At 37.5% G+C, this 22,299-nt stretch overlaps 1 protein-coding gene across 8 annotated transcripts in view, besides 1 other annotated feature; it reads right to left on the reverse strand.

Annotated features, from left to right (window-relative positions):
• The window catches only part of SMYD3 (SET and MYND domain containing 3), a 757,933-nt gene that overhangs the window by 587,812 nt on the left and 147,822 nt on the right, over positions 1–22,299 (reverse strand). For 7 of the 8 annotated variants that reach the window (NM_001375962.1, NM_001167740.2, XM_047428020.1 and 4 more), the window contains one exon: positions 17,873–17,936. In NM_001375962.1, coding sequence (NP_001362891.1) covers positions 17,873–17,936 — 64 coding nt within the window. Of the gene's footprint in view, positions 1–17,872; positions 17,937–18,265; positions 18,383–22,299 lie in introns of those variants that run through there. The other variant, NM_001375963.1, reaches the window with a different exon arrangement.
• Positions 17,871–18,496: an enhancer, noted in NCBI's record as "H3K27ac-H3K4me1 hESC enhancer chr1:246518331-246518956 (GRCh37/hg19 assembly coordinates)". NCBI's record gives its function as "activates a minimal SCP1, AML or CMV promoter by ChIP-STARR-seq in naive H9 embryonic stem cells {active_cell/tissue: H9 hESC(naive)}" and the evidence as "EXISTENCE:reporter gene assay evidence [ECO:0000049][PMID:30033119]".

The raw sequence follows: 22,299 nt of genomic DNA on the forward strand, positions 1-22,299 counted from the left end.
ATTACCAATGTGTGTAAGAGGCCTAAAATATACATGGTACAATTGTCAAGTAAGTTTTAAAAACACAATATCATGTTGACCCTACTTAGAGATTCAAAATATACTTAGCATCCTAAAAGTTCTAAAAGTCTATGCACTAAAGAAATGTGTATAAATTATTTAACACAGTTTCCCATGCTTGTTATTGTCACCCTTTAGAGAGTTAGGTTGGTATTCACTAACTCAGATATATCTATATATTTTTTTTCACCTGGTCTTTGTATGTGAGTGGGTTAAGCTAACAAATTTACATTCATTTGCACTCACAAGAAACAAGAATGTTAACTTTTTTGGTTTTTTACTGATAGAAGGGAGAACCATAACTTTGGCGTTAGTTTTCCTTTGATTATAGAAGTTGAGAAACCTGTCAGATGCTCTCATGGACAGAGCGTGTAGGCAGGAACGGATAACATAGTGCCAGTGGGTCTATCAGAAAGTACCTTAGGCTCTGTTCAAATGCCTCAGTGTCCAGCTGAACAGGGCTCACACTCAGCAAAACAAGGCAGAGATAATTTGAGGCAAAAGACCTTAAGAGCAGATTTTAATCAATGCTCATTTTAATTACAAGAGATCATCCATAACCCCTCTGTTAAAACCTAAATATTTGAGCAGCTCAGCCTCCTGATAGCTTACCAGGGTGAGATAAGTACAAAACGTACACCAGATAATGAACAACCGATCAGTTAGATGACAGCATTTGGAATTAAACATCCAAATTTTGGAAAATTCCTGTTAAAACAACTTTAGGTCCTTAACATAATTGATATAGAGCTCCTTTTCTCAACAATAACTAGAAACTAGACAAAATGTTTCTTAAACTTATTCCTAGATCATTGCCTGAAAACATACTTATTTTCTCATTTGCTTCAGCAAAAATATGTTCATTATTTCCATGAAAAGCCAAATCAGATCATTTAGGCATAAATAGAGAAAGCAATCATACCACTTAAAATTGGTCTGTAATATGGTACCACATATCAGCCCATTCCTTTTCTTTTTAAAACATTAACTGTTAAAATTTATCATTCAGCTTCACCTATCACATCTTACCATAAGGGTTACGAATACAAGCATACCATAGAAAAGGCTTACAAAGAAATCTTTTTACGCAGCTCCTTTGACTTTGAAGCAAAACGTGACAATCATACAAAAACAAAAGGCATTATCTTCACTCAACAAACTAACCTTGGTCAAGACCTCGATGACACATTTGTCATATATATTTGCCAATTTCTCAAAAGACAACCTTCCTGATTTACATTTTTTCCTATTTTCTTACATTACTTCCAATACAGGATATAATTAAGATTTTGCTCATAACATTGGCTGTAGTATTTTCTTTTGTCATAGCTGAAAATTAACAATGATGTACAATAAGCATGAACTGGCTTGAGAGACAAAGGAAATTAAAATACTACATTAAGAAGTAAAAACAAAAGGAGACAAGAGTTTCATGCTGGAAAAAAAGGAAATGACATCTATAACACAATTCTTTCAGTGCATGCATGACTCAAAAAACAACTTCAGAATCTATACAGTTTCATAATGTATTTTTATAGTATTTATAACAGTTCACGACATAAACTCATTAACCACACCAGTAGTTCTCAATGGGAGTGACGCCTATCTTGAGGGTTGTTTGAGAAATTTATGCGGGTATTTTTATTTGTCACAAGGTTTATGGAAAATTACAGGCACTTAATGAGCAGGAACCAAAGGAGCCAGACATTCTGTGTCGGACAGTTCTCCACAATGAAGAATTATCCAAATCCAATGCAACTTTCAAGTGTCCAACCAAATTCCATGACGGTGGAAAACTTGTTTATAATTGTCTGAGCCTAGAACTAAATCTCCTTTTACATTTAAAAACAAAGAGCTCGTTTTTACATAATCCTAACAGCACTGAATTTTCTAGGTAAATCAAAGGAAGACTGTATTTTAAGAATTTTACCTAAATTACTCAATTAAAGCCATATCACTGAAGGCAACACCACTTAGAGTACTTGAGTTACCAATACAACACGGCTTCTGACCCGCATCTCTACTTCCCTTCTCACAGTGACTCTATGTATAGGTGCAAATATGTGACTAATGATGTCTTCCAGTCTAATACCTCAGCATTTATATACTAAAATACATATTATTTTATCATAGGTTTTAATTTTCTTTTTCCTTATATTCCAATTATGGCATTATATTAATGTTTTGAAAATATGTAACTAGGTATATTGCACTACCTGTAAAATTTCATTTCAAGATAGTAGAGAGGGCAATAAAAATAGTTCTCACAAAAATGGGGAGTTGGGTCTGAAAAGAACTGAGAAGCCCAGATCTAAAAAAATGCTACACAGTTACACATGCCACACACATACACAAGAATATATTTTTAAACACATAGCCTAACACCCACCCTAGGGATTCTGACACTACCCATGAGACAGAATCAAGCATCCCACTGCAGGGCTGCTATGGTTTCAATGTGTACCTCAAAGTTCATGTGCTGGAAACGTAATCCCCAGTGCAACATGTTGAGAGGTGGGGTCGTTCAGTAGCACAGCGCTCACGAACGGATTCATGTCACTATTGCAACAGTGGGTTTGCTATAAAAGAGAGTCCGGCCCTCTCTTGTTCCCTCTCAGGAGCACGCTCCCGTCATGTGACGCCTTCTGCCATGCTAGGATGCAGCAAGAAGGCCCTTACAGATGTAATCCCTCAACCTTGGACTTCCCGGCCTCCAGAAACACCAGCCAAATAAACTTCTATTGTTTATGAATGACCCAGTCTGCGGCACTCTGTTAATAGCAGCACAAAAACAGATCAAGACAAGGGCATTCCATGAGTAGCTAAAGTTGAAAAACCACTGAGTTAAACTAAATTACAAAGGAGGTCGTTATATATACTAAATAGATGAAACAAAATACAATTCTATAATTATCATTGAACTATTGTTCTATAGAAATAAATATTGTATAATATTAAGGTGGAAAAAGTGTTTTAAACAGAACATAAAATGTAAAAACCATAAAGGAAAATAAATATATATTCAATTACATAACAATAAAGAATTTTTGTCTTGGGGGAAGAAAACCAGAAACAAGGTTTAAAGGTAATAAACCATGAAACAGTCTAAAATACATATATAGACACAGTGTTAAATGTCTCCAATATACAAAAAGGCCTTACAAATAACTTTTGAATATTTCAAAAAATATAAATAAAGGTAAAGGAAATGAATAGGAAATTCATGACTGAAAAAGAAAAACCAATAGACAACTAATACAAACCACACCAGTGCTCAAAGACATGATAACAGAAACTAGATAACATAGTGTCCCATTAATTTGGCAAAAATGAATAAAACTGGCAGTATTTAGAAGCATCTAGGATTTGGGGAAATAGGCATTTTCCAGCCTTGTTAGTAGAGTTGTAGGCTGCTCTGATCTTTCTGATGGGTATTTGGTAATGAATATCAAAATTGTAATGTGCATATTGTTGACACAGAAATATTATTCATAAAGTAATTTATTTTAAAAAATTTAAATAGTATAAAGAAATAAATTTAAGAATGTTCCACCCTAAGCAACATAGGGAAATCCCATCTCTATAAAAAAAAATTTTTTTTAGTTAGCCAGACATGATGGCATGCACCTGTATTCCCAGCCACACCAGAGGCTAAGAGGAGAGGATCACTCCCAGCTATGCTGGAGGCTAAGATGGGAGGTCGAGACTACAGTGAGCCATGGTCACACCACTGCATTCCAGTCTGTGTGACAGAGTGAGACCCCAGGTCTCAGGGGGAAAAAAAAAAGAATGCTCACAATAGAAGATGATTAAAATACTGAAAGTTAACTTTTCCAGCTTTTCCTAAAAGAAATTGCTATTTTTGTCTTTCTCTTTATAGCTTTCCATTACTATTTAAATTTTCTACAAAGAGCATGGAGTTTATGAATAAAAACAAATATAATTTTATGTGTAGTAACTGAGAATCAGGGAGAAGTACTTTTATACGAAAGGGACAGCAAAATTACTGTTTAATAGGCACTGGTGCTTCTTAACTTTTTAATGTTTATTTTGGAAATCTAGTTGCAACTCAAAGCATGATTTAAATGTGTTAATTTTTAAATGTTAAAAAATGCTTCAGTGAACTGTTCTGTAATGCTGATGCAATCTTTTTTAATTCAGAGATTCACTCAGTAAATTCTTTTATTAGTTTGGCTATATTCATGTCTGTTTTTCTTAAATGAGTATAGTACCAATTAAGTACACCTTGCATGAAACAGGTGTTCAATACATATTTTATGATTTATTCTAAAACCAGTACCATTCAGGGGGTAAAATTTACTATATATTATCATTATTTGAAATTAAGGCCATACAAAAAGAAGAAATGAAAGTAGACTCTCACAATTCTTTCTTTGACCAATAAGAGATGGTCTTGATTACATGATTATGAAAGGAGTGTATTGATGAGATGTTACACTAATAAGAGAAAATCAATTTATTTCTTTCTTACGCAAAATAACATTTGCACTATTATCATATTTCCCTCTCCTCTTTACATACAAAGTCCCTATTGCTCACTCAAGAACCCATTTAAATGCTGTTAAACACCAAGTTTTGGTTGGAGTGGATATCCATTTTAGGGTAGCTCATTATTGTTTGGGATAGAGTGTAAGAAGGGTCATCCTGTATTGAACCTTGGATTGGGTAAAATACATCCAATTCATGACATCAGCTCACTAGGTATTTATTCCATAAGAAGATTAGATTCAAAGATCTGCAAGGCAGTCTTCCAATGATAAAATTCTGAGTCTGTAACATCCATTCCTAACAAATATCTGAATTATGTCAAAATAGGTTTGAAACCTGCTTGGGTTAGGCTTACAATCATTGAAAATTTGCAACAGTATTTTCCTCAGCTATTTGGTCATTAAGGATGAAGAAGCTGTCTTTAAAAATATAGAAAAGAAAATGAATTTTTTGAGCCCACTTATTCAACAGTTTCATATAATATTAACTAAACATCTTCTACGTGAAATATCACAGTGATTTTTTTCCTACATATTCAGGACTTACTCCACTCACAAACAATCATCTACAGAGGTTTCCTATGGGCAAAACTTAGGATAGTTGAGCTGCCACGCAACTTGCAGGAAATAAAAGATACTCGACAGTTTTCCATTTACATCCAGTTTGCTTGATAGCAAATAAATAATGCCTCCTCCTTTATCCTTGAAATGTAGTCCAATATTGAATTACAGATTGTCAGATGCAGGCAGATCTGAAAAGCTGGAATCTGGGAAAAGAAAACTGGAAGGCTAAGCAGGTTGTCTAACAGCTACAGTTGACTGACAGGTATTGATTAAGATCTTGCAAAAAAATCTCTTTAGAGCACACTAGAGATTAGTGATAGATATGAGACTTCTCACTTTAAAAGCTTACTGAATGCTGTATCAAATGTAGAGCAAGAGCATCTTCTCACTAGTCTTAATCAAATTAGATGAATAGAGCTAAATATAAAGAAGGAATGTGCCATGAAAATGGTCTTAGGGCATAAGGTTGACAAGAGGAAAAAAAGAACGTGAATAAATGACCATTTCTTGGGCAAATGGGAATTACGGTCTCCTGTTAAGTGAGGAACCTATAATATGAGACAATAATAACAACAGTGCCCCCAAAGTAAGTCAATCATCATCTACTGCAGGGTTCCAAAAATATATGGCTCATAGGTAAAATTCATTTTACATTTTTACATTTATGTAAAATTCAAATTCATGTACGTTCTAATTCGTGCTACATTTTTAGTAAAATTGTACATTACAGGGATAGAGCCACACTTATTAGTTACATTCATTCATTTCATGCTACATCAGAGTTGAACACATACGACAAAAATCATATGGCCACAAAGCCTAAAATATTTACTATATAGTTCTTTACAGAAATTAGCCAATGCTTGATCTAATGAGAGATCATATGAAGACGAAATGACTTAATTGATAGTTTGGCTGGAAAGCAAAATAAATCATGCACTTCCACAGACTTCCAATCTTATTTGGAAAAAGCATCTATCCTAGATTAATCAAAATATCAACACCAGCTTCTAGCTGAATACGGTAGGTGAGCACATGTATTTTATTTCCTCAAAACAAGTAATTATCAAATTTTTTACTCCCAAAGTGAACTGGAACAGCCATCAATGGATGAGTGGCAGGGAAGGATGTGGTTAGCCCCATTTGAGAGTGAAAAAGTGGTGGTAAGAGGACAGGCTGCAGAAGCAGGGTCAAAGAGGCCACATGTAGGGACAGTCCCATCTGAGAGGGAAGGTCAGCCTGCCAAGCAGAATTCCAGAAAGGATCTAGAATCAAAGACTATACATTGGTAGAATGGAATTGAAAAATAGATGAGAAAGAGAAAATTAACCACAAGTCTGTATGCCAAAGAGTCTCAAAACACCCCTTCTCTACTTTTGGCTTGATTGAGTAAGCAATGGAAGGTTAATGTACAGAATCTTGTTGAATTTGATGCTAAGATTATCTCTGATCCAGATTATTGCTATAGCCTCCTATTTGGTCTTCCTGCCCTGACTCTTACCCTTCTACAACGGCTTCTTCAAACAATAGTCTAATTCTTTGAGTGGCTTAAAAATTGTGATCACTGTATTACAGAAAAAGAAATAAAATCTATGCATACTTAATAGCTCTGTGGTGACCAATATGTTTCAAACTACTTACTTGAAATATAATTTACATTATTAAATTATATTTAGGTTGGTGCAAAAGTAATTACTTTTAATGGCAAAAACCACAGTTACGTATAATAAAATGTATCCATTTTAACAGTATAGTTTGATAAATTTTTGTTTTTTTGAGATGGGGTCTTGCTATATTGTCCAGGCTGGTCTCTAACTCATGAGTTCAAACAATCCTCCCACCTTAGCCTCCCAAAGTGCTGGGATTACATGCACGTGCCACCACACCCAGCTTTGATAAGTTATGACACATATATCTCCATATAACCAACACCAAAATTAAGCTACAGATGTTAGTACTCCCCAAAAGTTCCCTTGTGCCCCTTACATTCAAGTCCTCCATCCCAGGCAACTCAGTGGTTTTGTCTCTATAATTGTAAGATCAGTTTTGTCTAGCCTAGAACAGTCTTACTTCTTTTCATCTGGCTTCATTCCCTCAGTACAGTGTTTTGAGATTCACTAACGTTGCGGCATGCATCAGTAGTTTGTTCCTCTTAATGGACAAGTAATAGTACAGTATGCATCTCTTTATTCATTTACCTGTGGATGAATATTTCACTTGTTTCCAGGTTTGGAACATTGAACATTTATGTACAAGTTGTTTTTGTAGATGTAAGTTTTCATAACTCTTAGGTAAATAACTAGGAGCAGAACTGCTGGGTCATACAGTAAGTACACCTTTAACATTATTACAAACTACTAAACTTTCCCAAAACAATGATAACGCTTTACTTTCTCACCACCAGTGAACAAGAGTTCCAGTTGCTCCATCACCTTGCCAGCACTTGACAAAGTCAGTCCTTTTAATTTTAGTCTTTCTAGTGGGTGTGTAGTAATATCTCATTATGGTTTTAATTTTCATTTATCTGGTGACCAGTGACAATGATTATCTTTTAATGTATATCTTCTTAAAGTATCTATTCAAATCTTTTACCTGTTTTACTCAGTTTTCTTACTACTGAATTATAAGTATTCTTTATAAATTCTGGAAACAACTTCTTGGTTGGGGTGAGAGAGAGAGAAGGAGGGAGAGAAAGAGAAAAGGAGGGAAACAGGGGGAAAGAGAGGTCTCAAATATTTTCTCCATGTCTGTAGTTTGTCTTTCCAAGGAGCTGAAGGGTTTAATTTTGATGAAAATCAATTTATCAATTTTTCTTGGAGGCTTAGTGCTTTCTGTGTTCTACATAGGAAATTTTATGTACCCCATATCCAAAGAGTTTCTCCTATGTTTTCTCGGTTTTATAGTTTTAGCCTTTAAGTTTAAGCTTATTGAACCTAAATCTTATTAAATCTAGTGAAGAATTGTTTTTACTTTTATCATTTATTTTCCATGTGCATATTAGCACAATTTTTTGAAAAGATCATCCTTTCATTATTGAATTATGTTGGCACCTTTGTTGAAAATCAACTGGCCATATATGTGTAGGGCTATAGTTTTTATATTTTTATTTCTGAATACAGGTTGAGTATGCCTTATTTGAAATACCTGGGACCAGAAGTGCTTCAGGTTTTGGATTTCTTTGGATTTTGAAATGTTTGCGTTATACTTACTGGCTGAACCATCCCAAACCTAAAAATCCAAAATCCAAAATACTCCAATGAGCATTTCCTTTGGGTATCATGCTGGTGCTTAAAATGTTTTGGATTTTGGAGCGCTGCAGATTTTTTGATTTGGGATGCTCAACTTGTATTATGATGTGTTGACATTTTAAAAACCTTTCTGACTAAGGAGAAGACTGCTCCTGCTCCTCCCAGGGACAGCCAATTCTAAGAAATAGCAAAAAGCTCAATCCTGAGCATGCCTTTGATAGGCAAACTAAATGATCCACAGCCATACATCCTCTGTCTGGCCCTAACACCCTAAGAGGCAATATTCTTCTGCCTTAATCATCCCAGGGCCAGGTACCAGGCAAACAGAGACCACCCTTAAACCCCAGGATCCCCTGATATTACTCAAACTAGCCAATCCTAAACTGAGAAACACCTATGAATGCCACAGTCCAGGGACAAAGGCTCACCAAAAACCCAAGACCTAATCATAGAACTATAGAACTGGCCGGGCACAGTGGCTCACGCCTGTAATCCCAGCACTGTGGGAGGCCAAGGGGGGTGGATCAAGAGGTCAGGAGATCGAGACCATCCTGGCTAACACGGTAACACCCCATCTCTACTAAAAATACAAAAAATTAGCCGGGCGTGGTGGCGGGCACCTGTAGTCCCAGCTCCTCGGGAGGCTGAGGCAGGAGAATGGCGTGAATCCGGGAGGCGGAGCTTGCAGTGAGCCGAGACGTTCTACTGCACTCCAGTCTGGGCGACAGAGTGAGACTCTGTCTCAAAAAAAACAAACAAACTAAAAAAGAACTACAGAACAGTTCCTCTCCTCTTACATCTTGCCATCACACTACTAAAGGCCTATTTACAGTGGTTCCTTTTACATCACGTCTAGCTATCAAGAAAAAACTATAAGACATACTGTATTAGTACATTCTTATGCTGCTATGAAAAAATACTCAATACTGGGTAATTTATAAAGGAAGACGTTTAATTGACTCACAGTTCCACAGGGCTGTGGAGGAAACTTATAATCGTAGTGGAAGGGGAAGCAAACACATCCTTCTTCATATGGCAGCAGGATGGAGAAGTGCCCAGCAAAGCAGGAAGCCCCTTATAAAACCATCCAATCTTGTGAGAACTAACTCACTATCAAGAGAACAGGATGGGGGATACTGCCCCCACGATTCAATTATCTCCACCTGGTCCTGGTCCCTACCGCGACACATGGGGATTATGGGAACCACAATTCAAGAGGAGATCTGGGTGGGGACACAACCAAACTATGTCACATACTAAAAGGCAAAAAAACATAGTTTGAAGAGACAGAGCGAGCATTAGTACCAGACTCAGATATGGCAAGGATGTTGGAATTATCAGACTAGGAATTTTAAAAAACTATAATTAATATGCTAAGGATTCCAGTGGAAAAGGAGACAGCATGCAAGAACAGACAGGGGATATAGGCATAGAAACAGAAATTCTAAAAACCAAGAAGAACTGCTAGATCAAAAACACCAACAAAAATAAAGAATGCCTTTGATATCTTATTGGCAGACTGGACGTAGCTGGAGAGAAGAATCTCTGAGCTGAAATTATCTCAATATGGTAACCACCAACATTAAGAAGCAAAGACAAAAAAAGACTTTATAAAAAAAAAACAGAATATCCAAGAACTGTGGAATGATTATATAAAGGTATAAGATATGTGTAATAGGATATGTCAGAAGAAGAATAAAGAGAGAATGGAACAGAAGAAATACTTGAAGTAATAATGACTGAGAAGTTCTCCCAGATTAATGCCAGGCACCAAACCACAGATCCAGGAAACTCAGAGAACACCAAGAAGGATAAAAGTCCAAAAATCTATACTTAGGCATGTCATTTTCAAACTACAGAAAATCAAAAGTTTTTTAAAATACTGAGAGAAGCCAGATTTTTATAGCTAAAGATAAGTATATGTCTGTTTTAGGTGTTTATAGATACTGAAATGGTTTCAGTAATATGTCATTTTCTGAAAATCTCAAAACACTTGAAAGGTGTGTGCAATGGTTTGAAGGTCTGTACCCTCCAAAACTCATGTTGAACTTTAATTACCATTATATCAGTGTTAAGAGGTGGGACCATTAAGAGGTGACTCAGCCATGAAGGCTCTGTCCTCATGGGCAGGATTAATTCCAGTATTTGATGCCCTCTTGTCTCCTGGCCCTTCCACCATGTGATGTCACAGCAAGAAGGCCCTCACTACATATAGCCATCTTAATATAGAACTTCCAGGCCTCCAGAAATGTGAGTCAACAAATTTCCGCTCTTCACTTATACACTGATGGTGGGAATGTAAATTAGTTCAGCCACTGTGGAGACAGTTTGGAGACTTGAACTAAGTCTTGAACTACCATGTGACCCAGCAATTCCATTACTGGGTATATACCCAAAGGAAGATAAGTCATTCTACCAAAAAGACACATGTACCCATATGTCTCTCCCTGCGCTGTTCACAATAGCAAAGACAGGGAATCAATCTAGGTGCCCATCATTGGTGGACTGAATAAAGAAAACGTTATATATATATATATATACACACACACCATCAAATACTATGAAGCCATAAAAAAGAATAAAATCATGCCCTTGGGCCGGGCGCATTGGCTCATGCCTGTAATCCCAGCACTTTGGGAGGCCAAGGCAGGTGGATTGCCTGAGGTCAGCAGTTCGAGACCAGCCTGGCCAACATGGTGAAACCCTGTCTCTACTAAAAATACAAAAATTAGCCAGACATGGTGGCAGGTGCCTGTAATCCCAGCTACTCAGGAGGCTGAGGCACGAGAATTACTTGAGCGTGGAAGGCAGAGGTTTTAGTGAGCCTAGATCGTGCCACTGCACTCCAGCCTGGGTGCCAGAGCAAGACTCTGTCTCGGAAAAAAAAATATATATATATATGTCTTTTGCAACAAAATGGATGCAGCTGGAGGCCATTATCCTAAGCAAAGTAGCACAGAAACAGGAAATCAAATACAGTATGTTCTCACTTACAAGTGGGAGCTAAAATTGGGTACACAAGTGTATAAATATGGGAACAACAGACATTGGAGAATATAAGGAAGGGGAAGGAGGAGGAGGTGCAAGGGTTGAAAAACTACCTTTTGAGTACTATGCTTACTTTTTGGGTGACAGGTTCAATCATACTCGAAACCTCAGGATCACACAGTATACCTTTGTAGAAAACCCGCACATGTACCCCCAGAATCTAAAATAAATGTTGAAAACAAATTAAATAAATTTGAAACAATAAAAATAAATTTTTTTCTTTATAAATTACTCAGTGTCAGTTATTCTATTATAGCAGCACAAAACAGACTAAAATAAACAACTTACATATAGAGGAACAAAGAATCATAGCCAACTTCTCAGAAACCATGTACAAGAGAGTGGAATGAAATAAAGTACTGAGAGAAAAAAAAATTACTAATCTAGAATTCTGTACCCTGTGGAATTACCCTTCAAAAGTGAAGGGAAAATAAAGACTTTTTCAGGAAAACAAAAGTTGAGGAAATGTATTGCCAGTAGACCCACCCGCATGAAATGTTAAAAGAAATTCTGTAGAGAGAAGGAAAATTATAAAGGTTAGAAACTTAGATCTACATAAAGAAAGAATGAGAATCAAAGAAGGAATAGGTGAAGGTAAAATAAAAACTTTCATTTTTCTTATTCTTAATTGATCTAACAGATAATAGTTTGTTCAAAAGACTGCTAATAGCATCAATGTATTTAATTATGTATGTTTATGTATAAGCTAAATAAATGACATAAGAGAGGGAGCAGGGGCCGGGCACAGTGGCTCAGGCCTGTAATCCCAGCACTTTGGGAGGCTGAGGCAGGTGTACTGCCTGAGCTTAGGAGTTCGAGACCAGCCTGGGCAACATAGTGAAATCCCATCCCCACACAAAATACAAAAAGTAGCCAGGCATGGTAGTGCACGCCTGTAGTCCCAGCTATTTGAGGAGGTGCTGAGGAAGGAGGATGAGTTGAACTGAGGAGGTCAAGTCTGCAGTGAGGGGTGTTCAGGCCACTGCACTCCAGCCTGGGTGACAGAGAGAGATCCCATTTCTAAAACAATTTTTTTTAAAGAGAGGGAGCAGGAATTAAAAGTATTTTGTTATTCTAAGGTACTCATTCTACCTGTAAAGTGGTAAAGTGTTATTTGAGAGTAAACTTGGATTCGTCGTAAATGTATATTGCAAACTCTGGGGCAATCACTAAAAAAGGAGATATATCTATATCTGATGTTCTAATGAAGAGAAAAGAAATCATACAAAAGGCTCAACTGAAACCACAAAAGGCAAAAAATAGTGAAAGACAACAATCAGAACAAATAACAAGGGCAACAAATAGAAAACAGATACGATAAATATTAACCCAACTATATCAATAATCACTTTGAATATCAATGATCTAAATGCATCAATTAAAAGACAGGAATGGTCGCAGTGGATCAAGACACAAAACCCAACCATATGTCATCCACAAGAAACCCATTTTACATATAAATAGATTAAATGTACATGGATGGAGAAAGATATACCGTGCTAACACTAATCAAAAGAAAAGCAGAAAGAGCTACATTAATTCTAGATTTCAGGTTAAATGTCACCTCTACAGGAAACCCTTCTGTATCCACCTACTCACAGGTGAGTTTGTGCTCACCCCAATCACATTCAATCATATAATCATGGGCATTTGTCACTGTCTCTCTACTCCATAACAGAAGCTTTATCAAAGTCAGGACCTTATTTACTTGCTCACTGCCTATTACTTATCATACCAACCACCAGGACTTAGAGCATAATAATCACTCTAACTCCTGTGTAGAAAATAAATTAGAAGTTGGAAAGAATCGTAGTTAACAATGCAGCTAATCCAGAAAAGAGACCATGGTAACAGGTAGTACTAAAGAAGCTGACGAGAAGGGAACCAATTCAGATCTTTAGGTAGTAAAATAGTAAAATCAGCACGACATGATGACTAAATGGATCTGTCGCCAAGAAAGGATGAGAATCGGAGATGACACCTGGCAACTCAGACTGCTGGGTGGCTGGTGAAACTGTTCACTGAGGCTGGAAAACATGAAGGGAAGTGGGTCTGGGGGAAGATAATGTACTCAGATTTACACGTTACACCAGAGACGCCTGTGCAACAGCCAAGTGGAAATCAGGAGAAAGGAGGCTGGAGACGGAGTCTTGAGAAGGATTAATATACAGATGCCACTTGAAGTCATAGGAGCAGATAACATCACACAGCAGGCAAAGGTAAAGTGGGAAAAGAAAAACTTCCGGCTCCAGACACCTGTGGAGGTCAAAAACTGAAATACGACCAAATCGTTTTAAACTTCATGTAGTACTCCCTTTGTGTTGACAGTTAGATACAAAGCTGACTTATCTACAGTACATTCCGTGCAAAGCCTATCAGTTTCAGGCCGAATTTATGAAGTAAACAAAGCTTGACTTCCTTCATTATCACTGCTTTGGTTATGGTAGTCTAAGAACCAGCCTATTAAATCACTCTGTTAAGTGCTTACTAATGTGGGATTAATTTTCTACCCATCGAATATGAATCAAATCATTCCACAACTAAGCATAAAATGTAAACCCAAAAATACGATTCACATTTTTAAAGAGGTCTATAATTATCAATATAAAATAGAGCTTGTATCTGCTAATACAGTGCTTTTAAAAAGTATATAAATTACAATTTGATGGAGTGCCTAACTCCTTATTTTGCTCAGCAATTAATTCATTCAACTAGAAATGTATATATTATCAATCATATTAAATCCTCAAAAGGTAAAATAATACTTGGTGAATTACTTGAAATTGACTTACTTGCTATCACCACTGCTGCCATTTTTTGTTTTGAAAATGCTTTTTTATAAGAAATTTTAGCCTGCTCCTCCTCTTTGATCTCATAATCATGTGTGATGTTCTGTTTATAGCAATAGAGAAAAAAGACTGGACCTCCTTCTATGAAATTATATGATAGACACCTGATAATAAGGTATAGACCAGAATATAAAGCCAGTGATGACAAAAATATTTTGACCAGTAACAGAAACAGTACTGTACACAGGAGTAAATACATATGTCGATGTGTACGCTATATATGATGCATAAACCAATAGTTTGGTGTATATCCTCCATCCATAAAATAGACACATATGGATTATCTCTGAAAAACAGAAGTAGAAGCGGGGGAAGGAAGCTGGGGAAAGACTTTTATGTTTTACCCTGTATGATTCTATATGGTGTTTTTATAATAAAAACATATCCTTGTATTGCTTATGTTTAAAAATGAAATGTGCACCAGATGCGGTGGCTCACGGCTATAATCCCAGCACTTTGGGAGGCCAAGGCTGGCAGACTGCCTGAGATCAGGAGCTTGAGAGCAGCCTGGTCAACATGATGAAACCCCACCTCTACTAAAATAGAAAAAATTAGCTGGGCGTGGTGGCACATGCCTGTAGTCCCAACTACCTGGGGAGGCTGAGGCCCAAGAATTGCTTGAACCTGGGAGGTGGAGGTTGCAGGGAGCTGAGACGGCACCACTGCACCCCAGCCTGGGCAGCAGACTAAGACTCTGTCTCAAAAAAAAAAAAAAAAAAAAAAAAAAACATAAAGAAAGAAATGTGAATACCAATAGCACTGACACCATCCTGTGGGCACAAGGTACATGTTACACCTGCAATACCCCAATAGCCTCTCTCAGACAACTTGATGCCATGGTCCCACACATCAAATGCTAAGCTAGTGAACCAAAATCATGTCCCCCTGGGGTATACATATTATGGATTTTATACTACAGATTTACATCCTCTGTTTCAATTTCCATTCCAAGTGCTTTTGCGTTCTGTTCATCACTGTTCACAGTTCAGTATGTCATTTAATTTTGCGTAGTTTTGTGGGTATCCACAATAATTACAATGTTTAATGTTGTATTTTAAGGTTGAGATAAACACAGCAGTTTAAACGCATATGTTCTGGCCAATCTTTAACTCCCCCTCCACACACACAAACACATACTCTAGCTGTTATTACATATATCCTTCATCTTGCTAGCTGTTTTCCTGTTACCTTCCACAGTATATCTGACAGTGACATTGTTATTGATGCCACAGTAAACAGCTAATATATGTAGTAAAAACACATGCACTACAGGTAATCAAAATGACATACCCACCCACCAAACTCCTGCTACTCATTCTAATCAGATAATGGCTTTTCTCTTCCCTGAGTGTACTACAAAAGGATGATGTGGCACTAGAGGAAAAATAGTCACAAAACAGGGGAAAAAAATGTTTTATTAAGTAAACTGTTTATTAAGTGTTTTATTAATAAACTGTTTAGGTCATTGAGATTAGAAAGCAAGTTTGCCTAGACTTGTGTCAAATAATATGATAATCTGTCGCTTCTCTATGTACTCTGTTTAATCTGAAGTTCCTAGAAACAAATAGCTGAGCTTCACGTGAATAAAACACCTAGAACATCACCATAAACCAAGCTTTCTGGAACGAATACTGTATAAAAAGCAGTATTAATGTTTCACTTTTTGCTTTTAGTTACTCTTGTTGGTAACAATCTTACATAAATCAGGGATCTTTCTAGCTTCGACAAAACTTTTGTTTAAAAAATGAGGTAGAAATAATATTATTGTTTTGAAATTTCCTATCCTATTTTAATTAGAAAGTGTTATACTGGCTGGGCACAGTGGCTGACACCTATAATCCCAGCACTTTGGGAGGCCAAAGCAGGAGGATCACTAGAGCTCAGGAGTTTAACATCAGCCTGGGCAAACAGTGAGATCTCGTCTCCATTAAAATTTTTTTTTAAATTACCTGGCCATGGTGGCACGTACCTGTAGTCCCAGTGGCTCAGGAGGCAGAGGCAGGGAGACCGCTTGAACCCAGGATTTCAAGACTGCAGTGAACTTGATAACACCACTGCACTCCAGTCCAAGAGACAAAGCAAGACTGTCCCCAAATAAAAACCCAAAAGCCAAGAAACAAAAGAATAATACAATATATAATGGAAAACTAGACCTAATCAGAATGTTAGAGCAAGAACAGAATTTAGGTTTAAAAGAGCAGTTAAAAGTCTGAATACCTGGGTTTCATTCCTGAAACTTCAGAGCCTACTAGTTACAGAATATTTGGCAAGTTGGCTGTCTCTCTGTCCTCATTGTCCTTATTAATAAAATAAAAATAATAATAGTACCTAATTCTCACAAGACTCTTGGAAAATCAAATGGAATAATACAGTGCCTGGCACACAGTGGATGCCTAATAAATATTAACTCTTATTGTTAGTACAGATTCAGAAACTGAGGCCCACACAGTGTGTGTTTTCCCTGAGATAATTTAACCAGCAAATGCCAGAATTAGCATGAGAACCTGGAACCCCTGATATTTTTGAACTTTTGATTTCTTTTCCATTAAGACCACTTTTTGTGTCGTCTCAAATTACTTTCAAAGGATAAAATGAGAGAGAAGAAAACCCCTGAGACAAGCATGGCCTAAATTTAAAAGAAGGAAAGAAGAAACTCTGGAGGTGTGTGTGCATATACAAAACATAAGAAACAAAAAGGATGAGTGGAGGGTGGCAGGGAGGAGGCAAGTGACATAGACACAAAACCTCTAATTAGACTTTTAATAAGATGTAACTCATTAGGACATAATTACATTTCTTATTAAATGATTAATCATAAGGTTAGAAGAAAAGGTCATGCTGAATGTTAATTATACATCCTTTCAAGAATTTCAAAGATGTTAACAACAGTACTCGTAAATTAACTCAAACTCTTGGCAGGATATTTGGCATTATCTTTAAAAATTCAAAAGGCATATATCCTTTCAACAATCAATACAATAAGAATTTATCCTACTAATAATTTGGGGAAGTGTGCAAAATGTGCAAAACAGGATGTGAAGTGCATTATTGGCAATACCAAATATTAGAAAAGTGCCAAGCATTCATTAACAAAGAAATTATTATTATGGTCAATTCATACAATGAAACATATGGGATACAAAATGTTCCCCAAAGTAGATCGTTAAATGAAAAAAAAAAAGTACACAAGAATTCATGCCAGATTAAACTATATCTTTTTTTTTTTAAACATAGGATGTAGATACACAAATATGTCTGCACAAGCAAATGCTGCAAAGACACATGAGAAACTTAACAGTGATTGCCTGTGGAAATGAGAATTGAAGTCGGGGGGCAATAAGATGGGGAGGAATAGACATTTACTTTCACATAGTAGACATATACACACACACACCCAATTTTTAACCATATATATTTAACATCAGTTTTAACATTTTAATGTCCCTGGCAACCTGTGTGACTCAGCAGGTGAATAACAAGTAAAAGTAAATTAAAGGCTGTAAAGAAGTAGACACAGGCCAACAGGTATAGTGAAGGACAAATTTAAGAGTAAAGAATTTGAAAGCTTCACTTATATATGGCTGAAAAGTCTTACCTGACACTTAGCACTACAGTATTTGGCGACGCGGCACTGAGAGCATCGCATCAGCTTTTCCTTCCTGTGGGGAAAAAAATTAATTCTGCATTAAGAAATGAGTGGGAAACATAGTACATAGTTGAAGAAAGAAAACATAAGTCAACATACGGACACCCGTATGTTCTGTTTACTCCATTATGTACAGTCCCTTAAGATTTGGATTTTCACACTGATGAGCCTCCTCTTGAACCTTCCATGTGAGACACTGATAGAAAAACTAAGTCCTTTTGTCTGACAGAAGATGGCGGGGAAGAGGCAGGACCAGCTTGCAGCTCCCGATCGGACAGACAGAGCAGCGTGTGGGGACTCACACTGTGAACTTTTGATCCAACAACTGCCACAGCAACATACCAGGTAAACTAAGAGAATCCACAGACCCTCTGAAGGAACTGTATCGCCACTGCAGGCTCCCTGAGACTCTGAAAAGATGTGAGCTGCCTGCTTGCTCAGCAGGGAGGCTGGCGGTCTGGGGCAAGTTCTCAGCCACAGTCACCAGCTGCCTGGAAACAGACTCCGTGCTGCTGTGGGGGCACGGTGGGAGTGAGACCAGCCTTTAGGACTGCGGGCTGTGTGGGAGTGGGATGAGGCCTGTGACTGCTGGCTTTCCCCCACTTCTCTGGCAGCCTGTGTGACCCAGCAGAAGCAGCCATAATCACCCTGGGAACATAACTCCATTAGACTGAAAACCACATCCCCATCCCAACAGCAGCCGCAGCAATCCCCAGCCAAGGAGAATCTGAGCTCAGACACACCTATCCCTGCCCCCTGGTGGTCTTTCTCTACCAGCCCTGGGTGCCAAAGACAAAGGCCATAATCTCTTGGGAGCTCTATGGCCCTGCCTACCACCTAAGAAACCTGAATAGGTAACCAGGCGACCTTAGGGCAAGTTTGCTTCCTCCCTGTAGGACCACAGCTGATGTGTTCCTGAAAGCACCAACTCCTGGCTGGAGGCCAACCAACACAAAACCAGCACACTAAACAAAAATACAACCAAGGGCCCTTGTAGAGTCCACTTCACGCCCCTGCTACCTCCATCAGATCACAGGACTCTTAGCAGTCACTCCCCAGTACCAGCCCAGAGCCCAGTACCTCCACTGGGTGGCTAGACCCAGAAGAGCAAAAACAATCACTGCAGTTTGGCTCTTGGGAAGCTCCATCCCTGGGGGAGGAGGGAGAACACCACATCAAGGGAGAACCCCTTGGAACAAAAGTATCTGAACAGCAGCCCTTGAGTCCCATGTCTCCCCTCTGACACAGTCACCCAAATGAGAAGGAACCAGAAAAACAATTCTGGTAATATGACAAAACAAGCTCTTTAACACCCCCCAAAAGATCACACCGGCTCACCAGCAATGGATCCAAACCAAGATAAAATATCCGGATTGCAAGAAAAAGAATTCAGAAGGTTAATTATTAAGCTAATCAAGGAGGCACCAGAGAAAAGTGAACTCCAACTTAAAGAAATCGAAAACCTGATACAGAATATGAAAGGAAAATTCTTCAGTGAAATAGCATAAATAAAAAATGATCACAACTTCTAGAAATCAAAGAAACACTTAGAGAAATGCAAAATGCACTGGAAAGTCTCAGCAACAGAATCGAACAAGCAGAAAAAAGTACTTCTGAGCTTGAAGACAAGTCTTTTGAGTTAACCCAATCCATCAAAGACAAAGAAAAAAGAATTTTTAAAAATGAGCCAAGCATCCAAGAAGTTTGGAACTATGTTAAGCATGCAAATCTAAGAATAATTGGTGTTCCCAAGACAAAAAAAAGAAATCTAAAAGTTTGGAAACATTATTTGAGGGAATAATCAAGGAAAACTTGTCTGACCTTGCTAGAGATCTAGACATCCAAATACAAGCTCAAAGAACACCTGGGAAACTCATCACTTAGACACACAGTCAAGAGGTTATCCAAAGCAAAGATGAAGGAAAGACTCTTAAGAGCTGTGAGGCAAAAGCATCAGGTAGCCTATAAAAGAAAACCTATCAGAGCAACAGCAGATTTCTGAGCAGAAACTGTCAGAGGCATGCATGTGAACCAGGGCAACTCTATCTTGAATAGGAGCTGAGTTAAATGAGGCTAAGACTTACTGTGCTGCATTCCCAGACAGTTAGGGCATTCTAAGTCACAGGATGAGACTGGAAGTCGGCACACAATACAGGTCATAAGTACCCTGCTGATAAAACAGGTTGCAGTAAGGAAGCCTGCTAAAACTCACCAAAACCAAGATAGTGATAAGAGTGACCAGAGGTCACTGGTGGTCCTCACTGTTACACTCCCATCAGTGCCATGACAGTTTACAAATGCCATGGCAACGTCAGGAAGTTACCCTATATGGTCAAAAAAGGGGAGGCATGGATAATTCACCCCTTGTTTAGCATATAATCAAGAAATAACCATAAACATGGACAACCAGCAGGCCTCGGGGCTGCTCTATGGAGTAGCCATTCTTTTGTTCCTTTACTTTCCTAATAAACTTGCTTTCACTTTACTCTATGGACTCACCCTGAATTATTTCTTGCATGATATCTATGAACCCCCTCTGTAACAAAACCCTATAAGCTAGAAGGGATTGGGGTCCTATTTTTAGCCTCCTTAAACAAAACAATTATCAGCCAAGAATTTTGTATGCAGCAAAACTAAGCTTCATAAATGAAGTAAGATACAGTCTTTTAAGACAAATGCTGAGAGAATTCGCCACTACCAAGCCAGCACTACAAGAACTGCCAAAAGGAACTCTAAATCTTGAAACAAATCCTCGAAATACACCAAAATAGAACCTCCTTAAAACAGAAATTTCACAGGACCTACATAACAATAACACAATAAAAAAAACACAAGGTATTCAGACAACAAACAGCACAATGAATGGAATAGTACCTCACATCTCAATACTAACATTGACTGTAAATGACCTAAATACTCCACTTAAAAGATATGGAATGGCAGAATGGATAAGAATTCACCAACTAAATTTCTGCTGTCTTCAGGAGACTCACCTAACACATAAGGACTCACATAAACTTAAGGTAAAGGGGTGGAAAATGACATTCCATGCAAATGGGCACCAAAAGTAAGCAGGAGTAGCTATTCTTATAGACAAAACAGACTTTAAAGCAAAAGCAGTTAAACAAAACAAGGAGGGACATTATATAACAATAAAAGGACTAGTCCAACAGTAAAATATCACAATCCAAAATATATATGCACCTAACACTGGAGCTCCCAAATTTATAAAACAATTACTAATAGACCTAAGAAATGAGATAGACGGCAACACAATAATAGTGGGGGATTTTATTATTCCACTGTCAGCACTAGATAGGTCATCAAGACAGAAAGTCAACAAAGAAACAATGGACTTAAACTATACCCTAGAACAAATGGACTTAACAGATATTTACAGAACATTCTACTCAACAACTGCAGAATGTACATTCTATTCATCAGCACATGGAAAATTCTCCAAGATAGAACATATGATAGGGCACAAAACAAGTCTCAGTAAATTTAAGAAAATCGAAATTATATCAAGTACTCTCTCAGACCACAGTGGAATAAAATTGGAAATTAACTCCAAAAGGAACCCTCAAAACCATGCAAATATATGGAAATTAAATAACCTGCTCCTGGATGATTGTTGGGTCAACAATGAAATCAAGATGGAAATTTAAAAAGTCTTTGAACTGAACAATAACAGTGACACAACTTATCAAAACCTCTGGAATACAGCAAAAGCGGTGCTAAGCAGAAAGTTCGGAGCATTAAATGCCTACATCGAAAAGCCTGAAGGAGCACAAATAGACAATCTAAGGCTACACCTCACAAAACTGGAGAAACAAGAACAATCCAAACCCAAATGCAGCAGAAGAAAAGAAATAACAAAGATCAGAGAAGAACTAAATGAAATTGAAACAAACAAAAAAAATGCAAAAGATAAATGAAACAAAAGGCTGGTTTTGAAAAGATAAATAAAACTGATAGACCATTAGCAAGATTAACCAAGAAAAGAAGAGAGAAGATCCAAATAAGCTCAACTGGAAATGAAATGGGAAATATTACTGATACCACAGAAATACAAAAGTTTATTCAAGGCTACTATGAACACCTTTATGTGCCTAAACTAGAAAACCTAGAGGGGATGGATAAATTCCTGGAAATATACAACCCTCCAAAATTAAACCAGGAAGATATAGAAACTCTGAACAGACCAATAACAAGCAGCAAGACTGAAATAGTAATTCTTTAAAAATTGCCAACAAGAAAAGTCTAGGACCATAAGGATTCACAGCTGAATTCTGTCAGACATTCAAAGAGGAACCAGTATCAATCCTATTGACACTATTCCAGAGGATAGAGAAAAAGGGAATCCTCCTTAAATC

This window comes from Homo sapiens, chromosome 1 (genome assembly GCF_000001405.40).
Source record: "Homo sapiens chromosome 1, GRCh38.p14 Primary Assembly".
Classification (NCBI taxonomy): domain Eukaryota; kingdom Metazoa; phylum Chordata; class Mammalia; order Primates; family Hominidae; genus Homo; species Homo sapiens.